General features: G+C 34.2%; 1 protein-coding gene across 1 annotated transcript in view; it reads left to right on the forward strand.

The window, feature by feature from the left end:
* ANKRD20A1 (ankyrin repeat domain 20 family member A1) overlaps positions 1-17059 on the forward strand; it is a 43464-nt gene extending 26405 nt beyond the window's left edge. The window contains exons 10-15 of the mRNA NM_032250.5: positions 1941-1969; positions 2061-2133; positions 8101-8171; positions 12224-12387; positions 13812-13992; positions 15158-17059. Coding sequence (NP_115626.2) covers positions 1941-1969; positions 2061-2133; positions 8101-8171; positions 12224-12387; positions 13812-13992; positions 15158-16132 — 1493 coding nt within the window. The 3' untranslated portion in view covers positions 16133-17059. The remainder of the gene's footprint in view (positions 1-1940; positions 1970-2060; positions 2134-8100; positions 8172-12223; positions 12388-13811; positions 13993-15157) is intronic.
* Positions 17060-18519: the final 1460 nt, after the last annotated feature.

Here is an 18519-nt window from a genome sequence, read left to right on the forward strand (position 1 = left end):
ATTTTCCTTCTCTTGCTGTCATCCTCACTACTGGGGAGGCATTAAGGATTGAGGCACCTCACCACACAGACCTGTGTTTTATCTACCATAGATGAACATCACCAAAAATGGTCAGCCATGTATGGCTATAATTTGTTTTTATAGAAAATGTTGTAACCTCATAGGATAGTATCATATAGGCCAAATTAACATAATTGAATAGTGTTGGGTGATTTATGGAGAAGAAATTAATTCGAGAAGTTATTGCCTGATTAAAAGTTCATTAGAAACATTATGGCTTATAATGTAGTATTAAATTGAGGGACATAATAGGGAAGAAATTGAGGCTAGGCCAAAAGGGCAATTAGGGGAAACCAATATGGAAGCACATCAGTGTAGAACAGGGCATTCAAATTGTCATGAATGAGTTGAGGAGCTTCTGGAAGGTGCACATTCTGATTCAGCAGGTATGGGAGTCTGCATTTCTCATGAGTACTCAGGTGATTTTTGGTGCTGGTCCTTGGACACAGCTCTGAATAGCAAGGGAATAGCCTTCCTTTAGAGAACTCTGGAAAAAGAACCATTGGAGAGCAATTTAAAAAATAACAGAATCCAGGGAAAGCATTAATTTCCTTTTATTTCTGAGCATGATTCTAGCCACAGGGGAAGGAGAATGAGATGAAAACAGAGAGATTACAGGTGTATACTACTGCTGAATACAGATGAAAAAAGTGGTCACAATTATCCATAAAAAGCAGTTAGGAAGGGAAGCATCAGGATGACAGTTCTAAAAATCACTTTTTCAAAGGAAGAGGGATTGTGAAAGGACACGGAGGGAGGAAAGAAAGACATTTGCTGGGGTCTTGGGAGTTGAAGCCAAGTAAACTTGAGACAACTCACTTCCAGTTGCTTCAGCATATGCCCAGTCTCACAAAAGAGGTTATTGCTGTGGAGAGTACTGGAGGCAGGAGGGAGTGCTAGAGTTGGGGTAAACCACAGCAGCTCATTTCACTTGATAACTGTCAGGCCTCAGAGAGAGAAGTTTCACTGACATGAGTGAATAAGATGTGATTAAGTTGCATATAGATGCTTTGGCTAATTTTTTTTGATATTACAAAATTCATTCTGTGAATACCAAAATTCTCTTTTTCAATAAATACTGCACTGATTTTGAAATATAAATATGTATTCATATCCAGCAAGTCTGTGGTAATTCAGTGTTTTCTTTTTTGATAAATATTTTGATATCAGAAGCTTATTCGACATGGTTCATTTTATGTGATCCTTGCATGAGTGGATCAAGGAGCTCTAACTCAAGGCCAAATGAGGGGATAGGAGAAATGTAGGTGCTGCAGTAGCCCATGTGATCATGGGAAAAATGAGTAGTTTGATTAGCTGTCATTTCATAAGTGTGTATACTAGCTGATCAATGTAGAACACTTTCTTTGATGAGAGGTGAATCACACATTCACCTGAACTGTCATCCCAACTGTGTATTTCCTCAGTGACAAGACAAGGGGAATTTGTTTGTGGCATGCTGGCAGCAATGCCTCTGCTGTGTTGAGTTAAAATACTCTGTACATTCACCATCAGCTTTGACGTCGATTCCCTCAGGTTTGATTTGCTCCTCTGTTTAATGGTCCCTTTTCTCCTCATCAGTCCACGTGTTCACGGTGATATCCATGCTTTTCTATTTTAGGTATAGGCATTTGAAACATAATCTCACTACTGAAATGTAAACTGTGCATTTTAGGAATCCTATATTCCTATTTTTCTCATTATGTTTCTGTCATGTTGCCGTCCTAGGCAATGAAAAGATGCCAAGAAGAACCCTCAAAACCTTAAGTAATTATTTTTATAGCCAGGCATGAGAATTCAGCTCGATAGTACCACTGCATGAATGTTTGGTTGGCCCTGTCATACTTACATATAATTGATGACATATCCCCTTTGCTTTGTAGGGCCTCCTGCAAAACATCCTTCCTTGAAGGTAATTAATTATGTATATTTTTGAATCACTAACTCCATGTTGTATAAAATATATATGATTTATGAATCATTTTCTTTTAAAACCCATTCAGCCTAGCACTGAAGTGGAAGATCCTGCTGTGAAAGGAGCAGTACAAAGAAAGAATGTACAGACATTGAGAGCAGGTACATTTAATGGAATACTGGAAATAAGTACATTCAATGATTGGAAGTACTCACATTATTCTTATTCCTAATTCTATTTGTTCAAAATTGAATGGAAGGCATTGACATAAATGTTATTGTTGGTATCCATATTTGAATAAAAATAAATTTAGAAGCATAAAAAAGATTTTAAAAATGTAAGCTTTAACTCAGATGTTTCTCTTTTAATGTTTTGAATAGCATGAAGTTTTCAGTATAAAATTTTTATACCTGTCAGGGATTCAAAGCAGTGAATTTTGAGACTCTAAGATATTTCCAATGAGTTAAGTGCTACTTGGAGTTCTGAACTTTACCTAGAGGAAAGCTTTACTTATTAACATGTCAGATTCTGTTTTAACTTTAGAGGCTTGCTGCTAGTGTTATTACACTGATGATCTGAAGCCAATCAGATGTTCTAATGAGCAAGACTGTGTGTGTAGGTGTATATATAGCTGTGTGTATGTGTGTGTTTGTGGCATCTTTGACTATTAAAAATGAGGAAAGTAATGATTCATTTATAACTGATAGACACAGTCTTTTAAAATGGTGATTTTGAGACTTTTTGGTGTTAAGGTTTTTAAAACATGATTGCATAGAGGCTACCGACATCATAAGTTGGTTGTTTTTCATTTCAATGCCCTTTTGAAATCTTTAACTATATTGTGATGCTCAGAAATAATATGCAGAATTTTTTATTTGTGTCCCAAAATGGTATGTGAGTGGTTATACACTTTACATACCTTTCTGCCACTTTCTTTGGTGTATTTTGTATTATATTTTCCAGATGTATCCACATTGATATGATTATCTCTGGTTTAATTCATTTTACACTTTTCATTGTATTCCCTTATACCACTTTACCACATTTAGTTAGACTCTCCTGTTGCTGATAAATGAAGAAAGAAAGAAAAATAAAAATAATGTCAGATTAAGTGGGCTTTTCTTTAATCAGTTTGTATCTATTAATATTTACTATATGAGAGTTTAAAGTTGAAAAGTTCAGAATACAAGCATGCACCACCATATTTTATAAATGCCCTTAGAACTGTGACTCATGAGCCTTTAGCCTATGAAGTTAGGACAATTCATTTCTCTGAAGAAGTTTGTTGTGCTGTTCTCAGAAAAGAAAACTGAAAATAGCAAATGATATTGTCTTATTTGACCTCTTGGACATCTTTGAATGAAACTGCAACTCCAGGGATACTCAGATCAAAATTCAGAACTAATGTTTTGAACAATATAGTTTGTGAATGTCCAGTGGATCATGAGCCCTTGATGGGAAAATGACCTTTCAAGTTTCACTTTTGCATTTTTTGCTCTTTTCCTTGACTTGTCTTAAAAGCTTAAATTCAACCGTTTTATTTTTACAGAAACCGGGAATATAACTTTTAAAATTTATGTCTGTCCTGTCTCACGGTGTTGTGTACTCTTCAGATCTTGTGTGAATATAGACTTATGTGGGAACAATTAGGTGTTTTGTTTGTTTGTTTGTGTTTTTGAGACAGAGTCTTGCTCTGTCACCAAGGCTGCAGTGCAGTGGCTCGGTCTTGACTCATTACCACCTCTGCCTCTCGGGTTCAAGCAATTCTCCTGCCTCAGCCCCTCGAGTAGCTGATACTACCTGCATGTGCTACCATACCCTGCTAAATTCTCTATTTTTAGTAGAGATGGGGTTTCACCATGTTGGCCAGGCTGCTCTCAAACTCCTGATCTCAGGTGATCTGCCTGCCTCAGCTTGCCAGTATGCTTGGATTACAGGCAGGAGCCACTGTGCCAGGTACAAATAAGATTTTTAAGGCTATTATATTTTATACAATTCTTTGGTCTATGTGAATTCTGAAGGTATTCATGCATTGAGGGAAGATCATCTCAGTTTAATGAAAGCAGTTTTTAATGTATATTCGTTAAAAATTTTTTTGAAGTTTTTGTCTCTAGTACAGAGAAACACACAATATTGTCATGGGTATTTGACCTTAATGTGTTTATGCACAAACTTAGTTATTCAAATATTTTCTTATCCCTGAAGAATCCTAATTATTAATAAAAAAATTTCTCATGGAAAACAACATATATAATAGAGATTGTTGAGTGATAAAGTAAATTGTAGTAAATAACAGAAGCTTAGAACAAGTTAAGTAAACTTGTCTGAGTTAATAGCAATTACAGGACTTTTAAGATACATTAGACCATGAGGGAGTAGTGTGTTTGTGGGGTAGAGGACATCATGGTCCTGCTTCAGTGAAGAAAGAACTTTTACACCTTATTACAATTTGTATTACTATTTACATTCTAATAAAAACTTTATTTTCAGATATTTTAGATTATGTTTCTACTAGTTGAACCATCAATAGTAAGACTTTTCAAAGATTTGGGAAGTTGTGAGTTGATGATAAATATCTGTATCACCATTCGTGATCAAAAATCAGCAACTACAAGACTTTGGACACACGAACTTCATAGTTAAAGAAAGGATTAATCTTGGAGCTGTGTTTTTATCAGGGAATTATACTCTTCATTACCTCTGTGAATCGCAGTTATTAGAGTAGAAAGAGAGCAAAGAAGGGAAACAAACATAGAAAATTTTATTCTAGATTACCTCAGTTGGCTTCATGCTACCATAGTTCTGGCTTTTAAAAAGTCATTTTGTGGTCAAATGTACTTTGTGTTTACTCCCTTTATGCAGCCTACAACCAAACAAAATGCTTCTTAGCAAGGCATTTGTATTCTTCCCTTAAGGAAAGCAACATATAAATAACAAAGAGAATGAGGAGAAAGAGTAATTTCATTGAAGTTGGTATTTAACATAAATTTGTGTGCGGGTACCATGATTATATTTAGAATTTTGGGCCTGGAATAGAAAACCAGCTAGACATCTACAGATTTCCTACTCAAACACAATGTGCCTTTGTTTTATTTTTACATCTGTAATTTTGCAATTATTAGGTACAACTGTATGCAGTGTCACTAAAAATACCTTCCAAAACCAAATATTAAATAATGCCTATGGTTTTCTGTATTATAATGTTGATTTCCCCAATATTAATGGGAACCATTGAGCATTTGCCTTGTGGTGTCTCCTCAGCTGTATTCACACATTCCATCACCTTGTCTTAATGGATAATCATGCACTATGAGTATGGGTTTTCAGAAGAGCTGTATCATTTAAAGATAACACAGGAGCATCAAATTTAATTCTGCTAGAATACCTGGTCTATTGATTAACTGCAGCTAATATGGGGTCTACTTCACATACAAGTTAAATTCAGTGCCCTTAATCAGTCATATGGTCAGGTCAACAGTAATAAATTATGCAATATTTTTTCACCCCTATAGTTTTAATTTCTCTTTCCCCTTATGTCTAGAATTAACATTTTATTTTACAAAACATGATGATAATCTTCTAGAGTAGTGATGACAAAGTATAAATCCAAAGTTTCTTACCTATGCAAATGACTTGTTTGCTTCTATTTTCTCATGAGCTTGGTAGATCCAGGAAACAGAACTTTTAAAACAAAATCCCCATATGTGGCTGGGCGCGGTGGCTCGTGCCTGTAATCCCAGCACTTTGGGAGGCTGAGACGGGCAGATAACCTGAGGTTGGGAGTTTGAGACCAGCCTGACAAACATGGAGAAACACATCTCTACTAAAAACACAAAATTAGCTGGGCATGGTGGCACATACCTGTAATTCCAGCTACTCGGGAGGCTGAGGCAGGAGAATCACTTGAACCTGGGAGGCAGCAGTTGCGGTGAGCTGAGATTGCACCACTGCACTTCAGCCTGGGCAGCAAGAGTGAAACTCCATCTCAAACAACAACAACAACAACAACAACAGCAACAGCAACAACCACCACAAAACCCAAATGCATTTCCTTGGCACAGTAAAACTGAAACAGAAAAAGTGTAAAGTAAATACAAGTAACTGAAACAGTTTATGTATATTATTTTACTTCTCATTTGATAAAATTTGTAAAGTAATGAGCAGAGTGTATTTCTCCAGGGACCCAGATATATACATTTATTCATTCAATAAAAATTCATGCTTACAATGGCCACTGATACTTATGTCCTAAATATTTCTGAAAACATCTCCTCAGGCCTGCATCATCTTTGCAACACTGCCTTATATTTTATCTTTGTTCATTGATTTATATGCCTCAGAATTTTATGCTCCTCACAATAATTAGAGTTAATTATCTCTAATGCAAATAGATCTGTGAACCACTCCTGAATACCTATGTCCAAGCATCTTAAAGTTTTATATAAGGATTTCAGAAACTGATTTCTGGGTTGGGCATGGTGGCTCGTGTCTATAATCCCAGCAATTTGGGACGCTGAGGCAGGTGGATCATTTGAGGTCAGGAGTTCAAGACCAGCCTGGCCAACAAGGTGAAACCCCATCTCTAATAGAATACAAAAATTAGCAGGTGGTAATGGCACATGCCTGTAATCTCAGCTACTTGGGAGGCTGAGGCAGGAGAATTACTTGAACCTGGGAGGCCGGGTTGCAGTGAGCCAAGATCATGCCACTGCACTCCAGTCTGGGAGACAGAGTAAGACCTTGTCCCAAAAAAAGAAAAGAAAAGGAAACTGATTTCTGCCCAAATCTCCATCTGTAGCCCTTTCCCCATCTGCCTTTTTCTCTGGAATTACTGAGCTGCTGGTAATGGCCCCCTCACCATTCCTCTTTTGCAGAGAAATACATACTCTCTTGGAGGCTTCTCTCCCTCTCTTGTTGCTGCCTGGCATGTGCTCATCCTTTCCTGCCCTCTGCCTCACTTAATCTGGCTAACCTTACTCTCTAAGTCTCAGCTCATGCATGATCTTTAGGAAAGCCATCCCTGACAGCTTTTATTTTCCTTCCTTATACCCCAGTGCCTAACACTTAGCAGGAACTCAATAAGTAATTATTTAGCAAAATTAAGACTGTTTATACAAAGATGATTCAAAAGATTGTCCTCTACAGTCTAACAGCAAAGGGGATCAACATGTAAAGACATGATGTGCAGTTCAGGTGGTAAAGTGACGCTGGAAAAGTTGACAAAGTACTAAGGAACTCCAATGAAGCAGACACCTGTGTGTGTGGAGAAAGACAGCTAGAATCAAGGAAGACTTCACACAGCATTCTGAGCCTTTTTTTTTCTTTTTCTGTTGTTGGAGACAAGTTCTTACTCTATCACCCAGGGTGGAGTGCAATGGTGTGATCGAGACTCACTGCAACCTCAAACTCCTGGGCTCGAGGGATCTTCTCACCTAAGCTTCTTGAGTAGCTGGGACTACAAGCACATATCAACATACCTGTCCAATTTTTTGTAGAGTCAAGGTTATCTATGGTTCCCAGGCTGGTCTTAAACTCCTGGCCTTGAGCAGTTCCCCCATTTTGGCCTTCCAAAGTGCTGGGATTACAGATGTGAGCTATTATGCCCAGCCTACTTTCTGAGTCTTAAAAGATGAAAATAAATTTTTCAGAATAGTAGGGGAAAACATTTGCGATGTAAAAAATGGGGTGCACACTAATTAAGGTATAAACAACAATAATTTTGCAAATTATTAGTAACTGCCAACTCAATTAGTGTCTTGTTAAAAAGATACTGTTATGAAGTATAGTAAAGTGTTACATTGTATATTTTGACTGTATTTCAAAATTTTATTTTGTTTCTAACAGTTTTGTTGATTTATGTTGGGTGGAACAATTTGTGAGTGACCCTGAGATTTCATATGGCTTGAACCTGGTGATATCTAATGTCTCCCCAAGTGGTTTGTTGAAATTTTGGATGATTAGAAGTATTTCTTAAAGAACTAAATATTTCAGTAAACATTAAGCTTCATTGAAACTCTCAAAATATAAAATACAAAGAAATGTTATTCTCTATTTATTTTTATATAGATTATAGTCTTTATCTAACTGTTCTTAGTTCATTTGAACTAAACCAATGAATTTGTCAACAGAACAAGCCTTACCAGTGGCTTCAGAGGAAGAGCAAGAAAGGCATGAAAGAAGTGAAAAGAAGCAACCACAGGTATATGAAAATTCAAGTTTCTTGTTTAATATTGGGTTTTGTTTTTTTGCTTCAGTAACAAAGCATAGTCCAAATGACATGACCTTTTAGACTATACCTTTAGAATCCGATAGATCATAATTTTATATTTAATTTTTAAAACATCTTAACCAGTTATGAAACTTAAGATATTCTTACTATCTCTAGTAACTATTAGTTATTCTGGTAATTCTTACTATCTCTAGTAACTCATAGCTGTCTTTACCCTTGGAATTGAGGCAAGACATTTTCAGAATTATCTTGCTCTTTTATTGTTATAACCTTACTCATAATACAGAAGGTAACATGAAATATTGGGTCATATTATTAAGGAATAGAAATTGTGAACAATTTAACAATGATGGCCACTGAGTTAAACTAGTGTTAAAGGAGTCATCATTGCCAGTGGTTCAAATGTTGCAGTTTTATATTGCTGGTCACCAGTGCCGAGGTTAAAGATTTATTCTGTTTTGTGGTCACCATTTGACTTCTGTGTCTGTGTTCAGGGAGTGAATGGGGTCATAAAAGTCAACCCAGTTGCCTATTAAGAGAATCCTACCTTGTGGAATGGGACCTTTGGTGTCAGGGTACAAACAATAACTTTATTTTGACATAAATACATAGTAAATGTTACTAAAATTTAAAAAATCCATCCACTATCACTAGTGGAACTTAAAATATATTAGAAGTGGATATAAGCAGATAATCCATCTAGATACATAACACTATCATAGTATATTATTTGAATTAGAATTTAAAATTTTGCTTCCCTTTCTTATTGGTGTTCAGTTTGGCTCTTAATAATTCAGTGTTTGCCTAGTCTGTAGTTAATCTTCAGAAATATACACGTACTGTAGGGGCTCACTTTTTCTGGTATGCTGAGGTAAAATCTTTGTAAGAGAGGAAGATTTTATAATACTACCTATCAGCTTTGAATTCATTTCTGGTAGATTTTACACATAATGCATTAAGTTTAATCGAAACAAATGCTAAGCGTTCAGCTTGCCAGTTCATATTTCTGTCCTATGTTAAGCCAAGGCAAATTATTTTTCACTTTTTAGTTACAATCCCATAATTTAAGGGTGGCAACACATAGATTAAGTTTCACAGTTAAATTTTAATTATTTTCTAGTATTGTTGTTTATACTTGATTAAAGCTAATTTTAAAACATGCACTCTGACAGAAAAGGCATCTGAGAAACAAAACAAGCAAATTTGTTTTCCATTTTGCACCTGCCAAAAAAAAAAAAAGTCTCAAGAACCAGAACTGGGTAAGAATTGTGATAAAGGGAATAATCTGTCTGTATATTCACGACTTTCTTTAAAATTCATTACAAACAAGTTCAAGCTGAATATTGGTGAAAGTTTTGAAAACTCCAGAATTACTGCTTGCCCTGAGGAAGAGCTCCTACATAGTAACTCTAAAGAGGGACGAACAAAAAAGGAGTGCCCTCTAATCTGATGAATCAGGTCCCTGATTGTGAGGAGGAAGATGCATCTGGAGGGTCTAACTCTGTGGCATTCCAGGCAGCGCCTGAACAGAGGAAGCCCATGTCAAATGTCTTTTTATTCCATTCATACTCCAGGTCCCTGAAATACAGTTACCAGTCATCTTCTAAGCTTCATTTAAATGAAAATAAATCAGACTATAAAAATGATAGCAAACCAGACACATAGCTTGTTTCTAACACAGATGATGAAAATTTTTGTAATGATACTGAAACCAAAAAATTAAGGAACCCAGTAATTATGATTGAAATGAAAGATGATTAAGAGTTTGACATGCAAATGGCAAAAAATGTAAACCCAGATACCACTAATTGGAAATTGGACATTAGGCATTGGCCTCAGTCTAGAGATCCAGAAAGTCTTTTTGATTTGTTGTTTACCCACCCCAAAGAAATGAAGCATATGATTCAGATAGAAAGCCACAGTATTTCTGCTGCTACAGATACTTATAAAAACAGAAAACCAATACAGCGTTTATTCCAGCAGCCACTATATGGCAATCCCAGTGCTAACAACTACAGAAGCATGAATCTTGAATTATAAAATGTGAGTTATTCTTTGCCACATAGTGAGAGAACATCAAAAATATAGCTAGAAGACTTATGGGAAGATATTCCAAGGTCACCAACATGGCACATGAATAGATATGTAACAAACCTGCATGTTGTGCACATGTACCAGAACTTAAAGTATAATAATAATTAAAAAAAGAATGAGGTAGGCATGTTACAAGTTGAGTTCCTGGCTTTGGAGAAAAGCAAGTCCAACTTCAAAAAGACAGAGGTTCACTTGCTGCTTCTTTTTCCTCTTTATCAATTATTTGATTTAGTCAAATTTTCTGTTCAAGAAAATGTCATGTGTACAGTTACAGTGGGGTTATCTAAATGTGTAATTATGTGTCAAAGTAGATTAGTTCTGCTATCTAAATAATGGTTCTGGAGAATGTTCTCATAATGTTTGTTCATTAATCAACCTATGTCTCACTATCAGTCTTCCAAGTGGCGTATGAGCTGGGAAACTAATTAAGCCACATACCATGTGACCTTCTGAACCAGATCAACATAAAGAAATTGCTAAAGAAACAAGCTCTAGATTCTAGATTCTTTTTTCTTGTATTCATTTAGAGATAATTTACATTTATTTAATGATAGAATGGGAATACAATGGGAGGGAAGCAATGACTGAGACAAGCCACAAAAACACGTCTAGCCTTGAGAGTTGCAACGAATATTCCCAGCCAAATGAGTCTGTTTAATGTGTTTTCATGCATGCAAGTTTATCTGCTTAGCTCAAACTGTTTGAACTTACAGTCCCATCATGGTTATTTCCAATATTTTTGAAAACATATACTTACACATATTTTAAAAAATCACCACTCTGCAATATTTCTGTTGAATCAGACCTTACGTTATGTTGTTTAATAAAGTATGGTGAGTTTTGGCATGTATGATTTTTATCATATAAGAAGCATAATTTCTTAGCCAAAAATTTAGCCTTTGACTCTTTAGTAGAAAGTTGAGTTCTGTACATTGTGTTCTAAAGATAGACAAAAATCTAGAGATTTTCTTCTTTCAAAGTAAAAGCAGATGAGGCCTTTTTCCACCCTCTGAGGCATTAAATTGCTTTGCTCAAGTTAGACTTTTAATATATCTAATTTGATAAATTTATCTGGTAATTTATGTAATTCAGCAATATGGAATTGTATCATGTTATATGGTGCCATGAAATGCTAGTGAATGCCACCTCAAGAGCTCTGGATGAAACATTTAATATGTCTTGGTTGGTTTGACTCCCATTATCAGTAGATAATGGGGTTAAAGTAGGTAACTGTACCATATGTTTTCCACCTATAAACTTTTGTGGTAATTGAATGTGAAATCTGGGAAGCATCTCATTTTCCAGAATTCTGCACTAGAAACTCAGCAGTTTCACTCTGCTTCTTTTGTTGTGGCAAACGTTGGTTCCCATAATTCAAAGAGAACCTTTACTTTTTTGATATCACAGGATTCAAAAAAAAAAAAAGAGAGATAAAAGGCAGTGGGGAAAAGAGTAGCTCAGTACAGAAAAGGGAAAACTTCTTTACTGTTCCCGAAGGCCTACAAGGTCACATCCTCTTAATCTGGCTATTTCATGTAAAATCCAGGTAGTAAAGACAGAAGACATATATTATGCCTGTGTCTTTTTATTTCTCTGTTTCTGCCAGCCAGATAGCATAAAAATTTATACCAGATAGCAAAGAGTGGATGGGAATAAAAGCACAAAATGGAGAAGAGCCCTTTTTGAAATTTTGGAAAATTCTTCTATTCCCTCAAACAGAAATGAGCAGATTTGACAAAAATTTCGATGATAAAATAAGAGTATCTTATAATTATAATAATTATGTATAATGATAAAATTAAAGTAAGCACAAAATACTTTTATCATTAAAGTGGTGATAGTTAACCTGAATCAAGTAAAAAAAATCAGGGAAAAAGTTCTTTTTATTGAATAAAATAATAACAATTATTATTCATCTTTTATTAAAGGTCAAAGAAGGAAATAATACAAACAAAAGTGAAAAAATACAACTTTCAGAAAATATATGTGATAGTACATCTTCTGCTGCTGCTGGCAGATTAACCCAACAAAGAAAGATTGGGAAAACGTATCCTCAGCAATTTCCCAAGAAGCTGAAGGAAGAGCATGATAGGTAAGCCTATAGCAGTGTTTTTTTTTTTGTTTGTTTGGTTTTGGGTTTTTTTTGTTTGTTTTTGTTTTTTTGAGATGGAGTTTCTCTCTTGTTGCCCAAGCTGGAGTTCAATGGTGTGATCTCAGCTCACTGCAACCTCTGCCTCCTGGGTTCAAGCGATTCTTCTGACTCAGTCTCCCTAGTAGCTGGGATTACAGGCATGTGCCACCATGCCCGGCTAATTTTTTGTATTTTTAGTAAAAATAGGATTTCACCATGTTAGCCAAGCTCGTCTCGAACTCCTGACTTCACGTGTTCTGCCCACCTCGGCCTCCCAAAGTGCTGGGTTTACAGGAGTGAGCCACCGTGCCTGGCCGCCTATAGCAGTATTTCACAGGAGATAATTGTCATTGTGCTATAAACTAATTGAAAATTGGACTAATATTCCTTATGATTAACAAGTTTTATATTTTTACCAGGGGTATTTAGCCCTGCCTGGTAATCAGAAAAAAGCAAATTAACATAAAATAAGATATATTTTGTAAAGTCATGCTGATATTTAAAAAGTAATTATTAGTGTTGGCAAATGTGAGGAAAAAGGCATTCTCATACACTGTTGGTATAGGAAATTAGTAAATTATTTCTGAAGGGTAACTTAGTGCTGTGTATCAAAATTTCAAATAGCCTGACATCCCTTTAACTCAACAACTCCACTTCTGGGACTAGATTTCACAGGAAAACATAACTGGTGTAAACATACACACACTTATTAATATATAATTAACATGCATTAATTATATATTACACATAATGAACAATAGGTTAATGAATATATAAAATATATGTAATAAGGTGAATTGAAAGTATTAAGAAAGAAATATAAAAAGTGTGGGGAAACAGATGTTAGACTTTTTAGCCTAGTTTTGGATGACAGTCATCTGCAGATATAGTTTGTGTGAGAGACATCTGAAGGTGTCATCTCACTCTGTAAATCATTTGGAGAAACACCTGCAATATTTCATAAAGATGAAAATTTATTTCTAGTGAACTTATACGCTTGTCAATAAATAGTAACTTTAAAAATTTAGTTGATTGTAAATGATCTTTTCTAATTAGGGAGTAATTATGACTGTGTGATTTAAAAAGGTAATTTTGAACCTGTAACTTTACTGAATTATCTCTGGTATCCTTTTTTATAATATATATTAGAGTGACTAGTAACAAAAACTTTAGCAGAATATTCTTTCCTTACTACTTTTCAAGTATATGCATTCATTTGAAGATGTTGAAGTGAGAAATTAAATATCTGAGAACTGCAAAGGAAAAATAATCCAGAACATAGAAATTTTATTAGGATAATAAACAACATCTGCAGAGGTAGGTAACAGGATGAACTCCTTATTTTTTAACAAAATGAATTTTAAGACAAATGTCTTTATCTGCAGATGCACCTTAAAACAAGAAAATGAAGAAAAAACAAATGTTAATATGCTGTACAAAAAAAATAGAGAAGAATTAGAAAGGAAAGAGAAACAATATAAGAAAGAAGTTGAAGCAAAACAACTTGAACCAACTGTTCAGTCACTAGAGATGAAATCAAAGACTGCAAGAAATACTCCAAATTGGGTAAATCAATCTTTGGTAAAAATTCTATATTTTAAACTTTATCTTATCACTGTTACTTATAATATCCACTTGATTTAATATATATTGTTTAGGTCTAAAACCATAAATGTTATCTCATTTTTAAAAATGAATGATGACACTTACAGGTACAATTATTAATATTTATTATAAATCTTGGCATCCACATAGGATATTATTTTATTACAAAGAGCTTTTGAAAACAATAATATGCCATAATTTATACTTAGTGATAACCTATTGATAAAAATTTTGTTCCAGGTAAAATTTTTCCTTGTACTTTCCCCTATTTCATATTGATTACTGCACCTAATATTATAAAGAGGAAACAGAAATTATTGCAATCGCAAATAATCTCATGATATTCTAAGAAGAGCTCTATAAATTTTATCTTATTTACTATTGGCGTTTTGAAATAAAAGTTTTCTTTCGTATTGATGTATTTACACCACAGAAGTAACTGTGATCTGTTGGAGAACTAGAAGTAGAGTCAGAAGTCCTGGGGAAAATCCTGTAGCTTGCTTATATTTTTAACATTTCTTTTTCAAAATTATGGTAACTAGATGAGTTCATCAATGAATGTATATAGGAGTGACTAGTATAATGTCTAGTTTATGATTTAGTGAATGTAATTCTTATAACTGACTATAAAAGTGTTAAAAGAGTCAAACTGAAATAGAATGTTATCAGTGAAACAGAACTGTAATAACTCTGGGAAATTTTATCTGTCCAAATATGTGTGAACAAAAGTTCTTACTATAGGGTGGTGTATGGGTTAGGTATCAAAGTGTAAATGCAATTTTTTGATATATCTTAATTTAGTCAAATTTGTTAATGCTTTAATTTATGCTTTTGAGTTTGTTGTAATTCAGGGAAAGGCTTTTCCAATTCTGATATTCTTAAAAATTCTCTGGTGTGTGTGTGTGTGTGTTTACTTTTATAAATTCATTGACTCTAAATACATTTCTGAACTTTCTGGAATTTATGCTCTATAAGGTTCAAAGTTTTGCTTCAACTTTTTCTCCAGGTGGATATCCACTTATGGTAAACTTTTTAGTGGTACGGATGTGCAGGTTATTCTTTAACTTCAGAGGTAATCATGATATTTTATTGAGTACTAGCTAAAATTTTCTTTTGTTTTATTTAGGATTTTCATAATCATGAAGAAATGAAAGGTCTGATGGATGAAAATTGCATTTTGAAGGCAGATATTGCTATACTCAGACAGGAAATATGTACAATGAAAAATGACAACTTGGAAAAAGAAAATAAATATCTTAAGGACATTAAAATTGTTAAAGAAACAAATGCTGCCCTTGAAAAGTATATAAAACTCAATGAGGAAATGATAACAGAAACAGCATTCCGGTATCAACAAGAGCTTAATGATCTCAAGGCTGAGAATACAAGGCTCAATGCCGAACTGTTGAAGGAAAAAGAAAGCAAGAAAAGACTGGAAGCTGACATTGAATCTTATCAGTCTAGACTGGCTGCTGCTATAAGCAAACACAGTGAAAGTGTGAAAACAGAAAGAAACCTAAAACTTGCTTTAGAGAGAACACGAGATGTTTCTGTACAAGTAGAAATGAGTTCTGCTATTTCCAAAGTAAAAGCTGAGAATGAGTTTCTTACTGAACAACTTTCTGAAACACAAATTAAATTCAATGCCTTAAAAGATAAGTTCCGTAAGACAAGAGATAGTCTCAGAAAAAAGTCATTGGCTTTAGAAACTGTACAAAACGACCTAAGCCAAACACAGCAGCAAACACAGGAAATGAAAGAGATGTATCAAAATGCAGAAGCTAAAGTGAATAATTCCACTGGAAAGTGGAACTGTGTAGAAGAGAGGATATGTCACCTCCAACGTGAAAATGCGTGGCTTGTACAGCAACTAGATGACGTTCATCAGAAAGAGGATCATAAAGAGATAGTAACTAATATCCAAAGAGGCTTTATTGAGAGTGGAAAGAAAGACCTCGTGCTAGAAGAGAAAAGTAAGAAGCTAATGAATGAATGTGATCATTTAAAAGAAAGTCTCTTTCAGTATGAGAGAGAGAAAACAGAAGGAGTAGTAAGTATCAAGGAAGATAAATATTTTCAAACTTCTAGAAAGACAATTTAAACATTTGGTTCTGGATACATGTTGAACTTAGTTGAATATAAAAATCTAGATTAAAAGTGTGTTTACCATACTGTATAATTCCATTTACATGAAGCATCCAGAAAAGATAAATGTATAGGGACAAAAAGTAGATTCATGTTTGCAAGGGGCTGGGGCTGGAAGCTGGTAGTGACTGCTAATGGGCATGAGGAATCTTACAGTGATGGAAATGCTCTAAAGTTGGATTGTAGAGATGGCTGCACAACTCAGTAAATGTACTAAAAATCTTTTAACTTAAAACAGATACATTCTATAGTATGTAAATTATATTTCAACAAAGCTGTTTTAATAAAAAAAGGAAAAATGTGTTTACTATATCGGCTTAGAAACATGCCTCATTTCTAGGAAATAAAAGATAGAGGTGAGAGATGATTTACTTTGAGAAAAGACATTGTGTCACCTATGAAATTTTATTAGGCACAGAGTCATATTTTAAGGTAGATAGTTCTGTATTGCTGAAATAGTAATTTTAATGTCTTTATGTTGCCACATGTTAAGACCATAATGTAGTTATAAATGGAAATGTTTACACCTGAAGTGAGTATTTTCAAATTAAAATTTAATTAAGTGATTTTCTTCGACACTTAATTCTAGATTCCCCAGATGAATTGAAGTGTATTGCTGTGTCTTGTAATACCTTGCTTTAACTAGCTTTTTATGTATTTTAGTTGGTATAGCTTTGTTATTATTCATATTAACAAATCTGAAAATATGTCAAATTACGTGTTTTTATGACCATGTAATGTTTTAAAGGCACCTACTTGTTATAAAATCATAATTTAGGATAAATGTGGTAAAACTTAGCAAAACTATATTTGGTTTAGTTTTCCCACTGGTATTTATAGTTTACTTTGAATATTTATATTAATAATTAGCTCATAATTTTTATTGCAAGGCTCAATGACTGTCATTGGAATATAATTTTGTTCAGTACAAAGATACTTGTAGCTGTCTGTGATTTACGAGTTAGGCACTACATCTCCATTTTCAGACTGAGGGGTGGCAGGCTTCACATACAGTGGGAATGGAGTAATTACAGGAGGGAGTTGTAGGAGCTTTGAAGTCAGAGAGGGAGGTAGAGGCCTTTTTACCTAGGGCCTCAAAGGCCATTGGAATTTTACTTTTATTCTGAGATAGGAATCTGTTGGAAGGATTTGAACAGGTGATTGAATATGTTAGGAACTTTGAGGCTGAGTTGAGCTTCTGAGATGATTGAATGTTGGAATGAATCTGTTGTGTAAGTAAGAGAATACCAATTTGGCAGGAAGAGAACATATTCTGCATCCCTCACTGAATTCAGTAATAAATAAAAATGTGTACATGTGATTAAAAGAAGGTGAATTGATATGTGTGGTGATAATTTTCAAAGTAGATATGTTGGAATTAAACATTATTAACATAATTTAATAAGGCAGTTTATAAAATCAGTAACAAATATTTTATCAGGTGGTTGTGAGACAACTTCAACAAGAAGTGGCTGACAGCGTAAAAAAATTAACGACGTTAGAGTCTCCACTGGAAGGTATATCACGTTGTCATATTAATTTGGATGAGACACAGGCCTCAAATAAGAAATTATTTCAAGTGAAAAGTCAAGTATGTATGGAATTTAACATGTCAACAGTTATTCTGTAGCTAGTTGAATTATATAACGTGTTTTAGGATACTAATTTTGGCAGAAGCTTGATTTTTTATTTTCATTATAATGAATGATTTCCATTTTACTATCTTTATAATGTACTTTTTTTTATATTGTGACTTTCATTATACCATTTTGAAAAACCATTGCATACCTTTTCTCTTACAATATGTACCCTTGGAAAAGTTGAGAATTATACATCATTCCTCATAGAAAATTGACTTTTTTCCTGTTAAACAGTATTTTTAAGTAATTTGTGTATTGCTCTGATGAGGCAAGCCAGATTAAATCAGAGGAGAATGTTTCATGGAATGTTCCAGAAAATTGTCTTATTTCTTCACTTTTGTGAATGGACACAGAATCTGTGTCTATTTGTTTCACAGATTCTAGGTTAACTTGTACAGAAAGGCCATTATACTATTCTTTGAAATGTGCATGTTTTAGGTTAATTTACAAACTATTTGAAAAGTTAGGCATTTTCTTTATCTTTTATTTAAAATATACTGTAAAACTGTAGAAATATTTAGATTTGATATAGCATGTACATCAAAAATTAAGAGTTGAGAAAATTATCTTGATCCTGCCTTTGGATTTTAAAAAGATTCACTGAGATGTCATTCACATATCAGACAGTTCAACCATTTAAAATGTACAACTCAGTGTCTATTAGTATGTTCACAGCATTTTCGTCACCCTGAAAAGTGACCCC

This window comes from Homo sapiens, chromosome 9 (genome assembly GCF_000001405.40).
Source record: "Homo sapiens chromosome 9, GRCh38.p14 Primary Assembly".
Taxonomy (NCBI): Eukaryota; Metazoa; Chordata; class Mammalia; order Primates; family Hominidae; genus Homo; species Homo sapiens.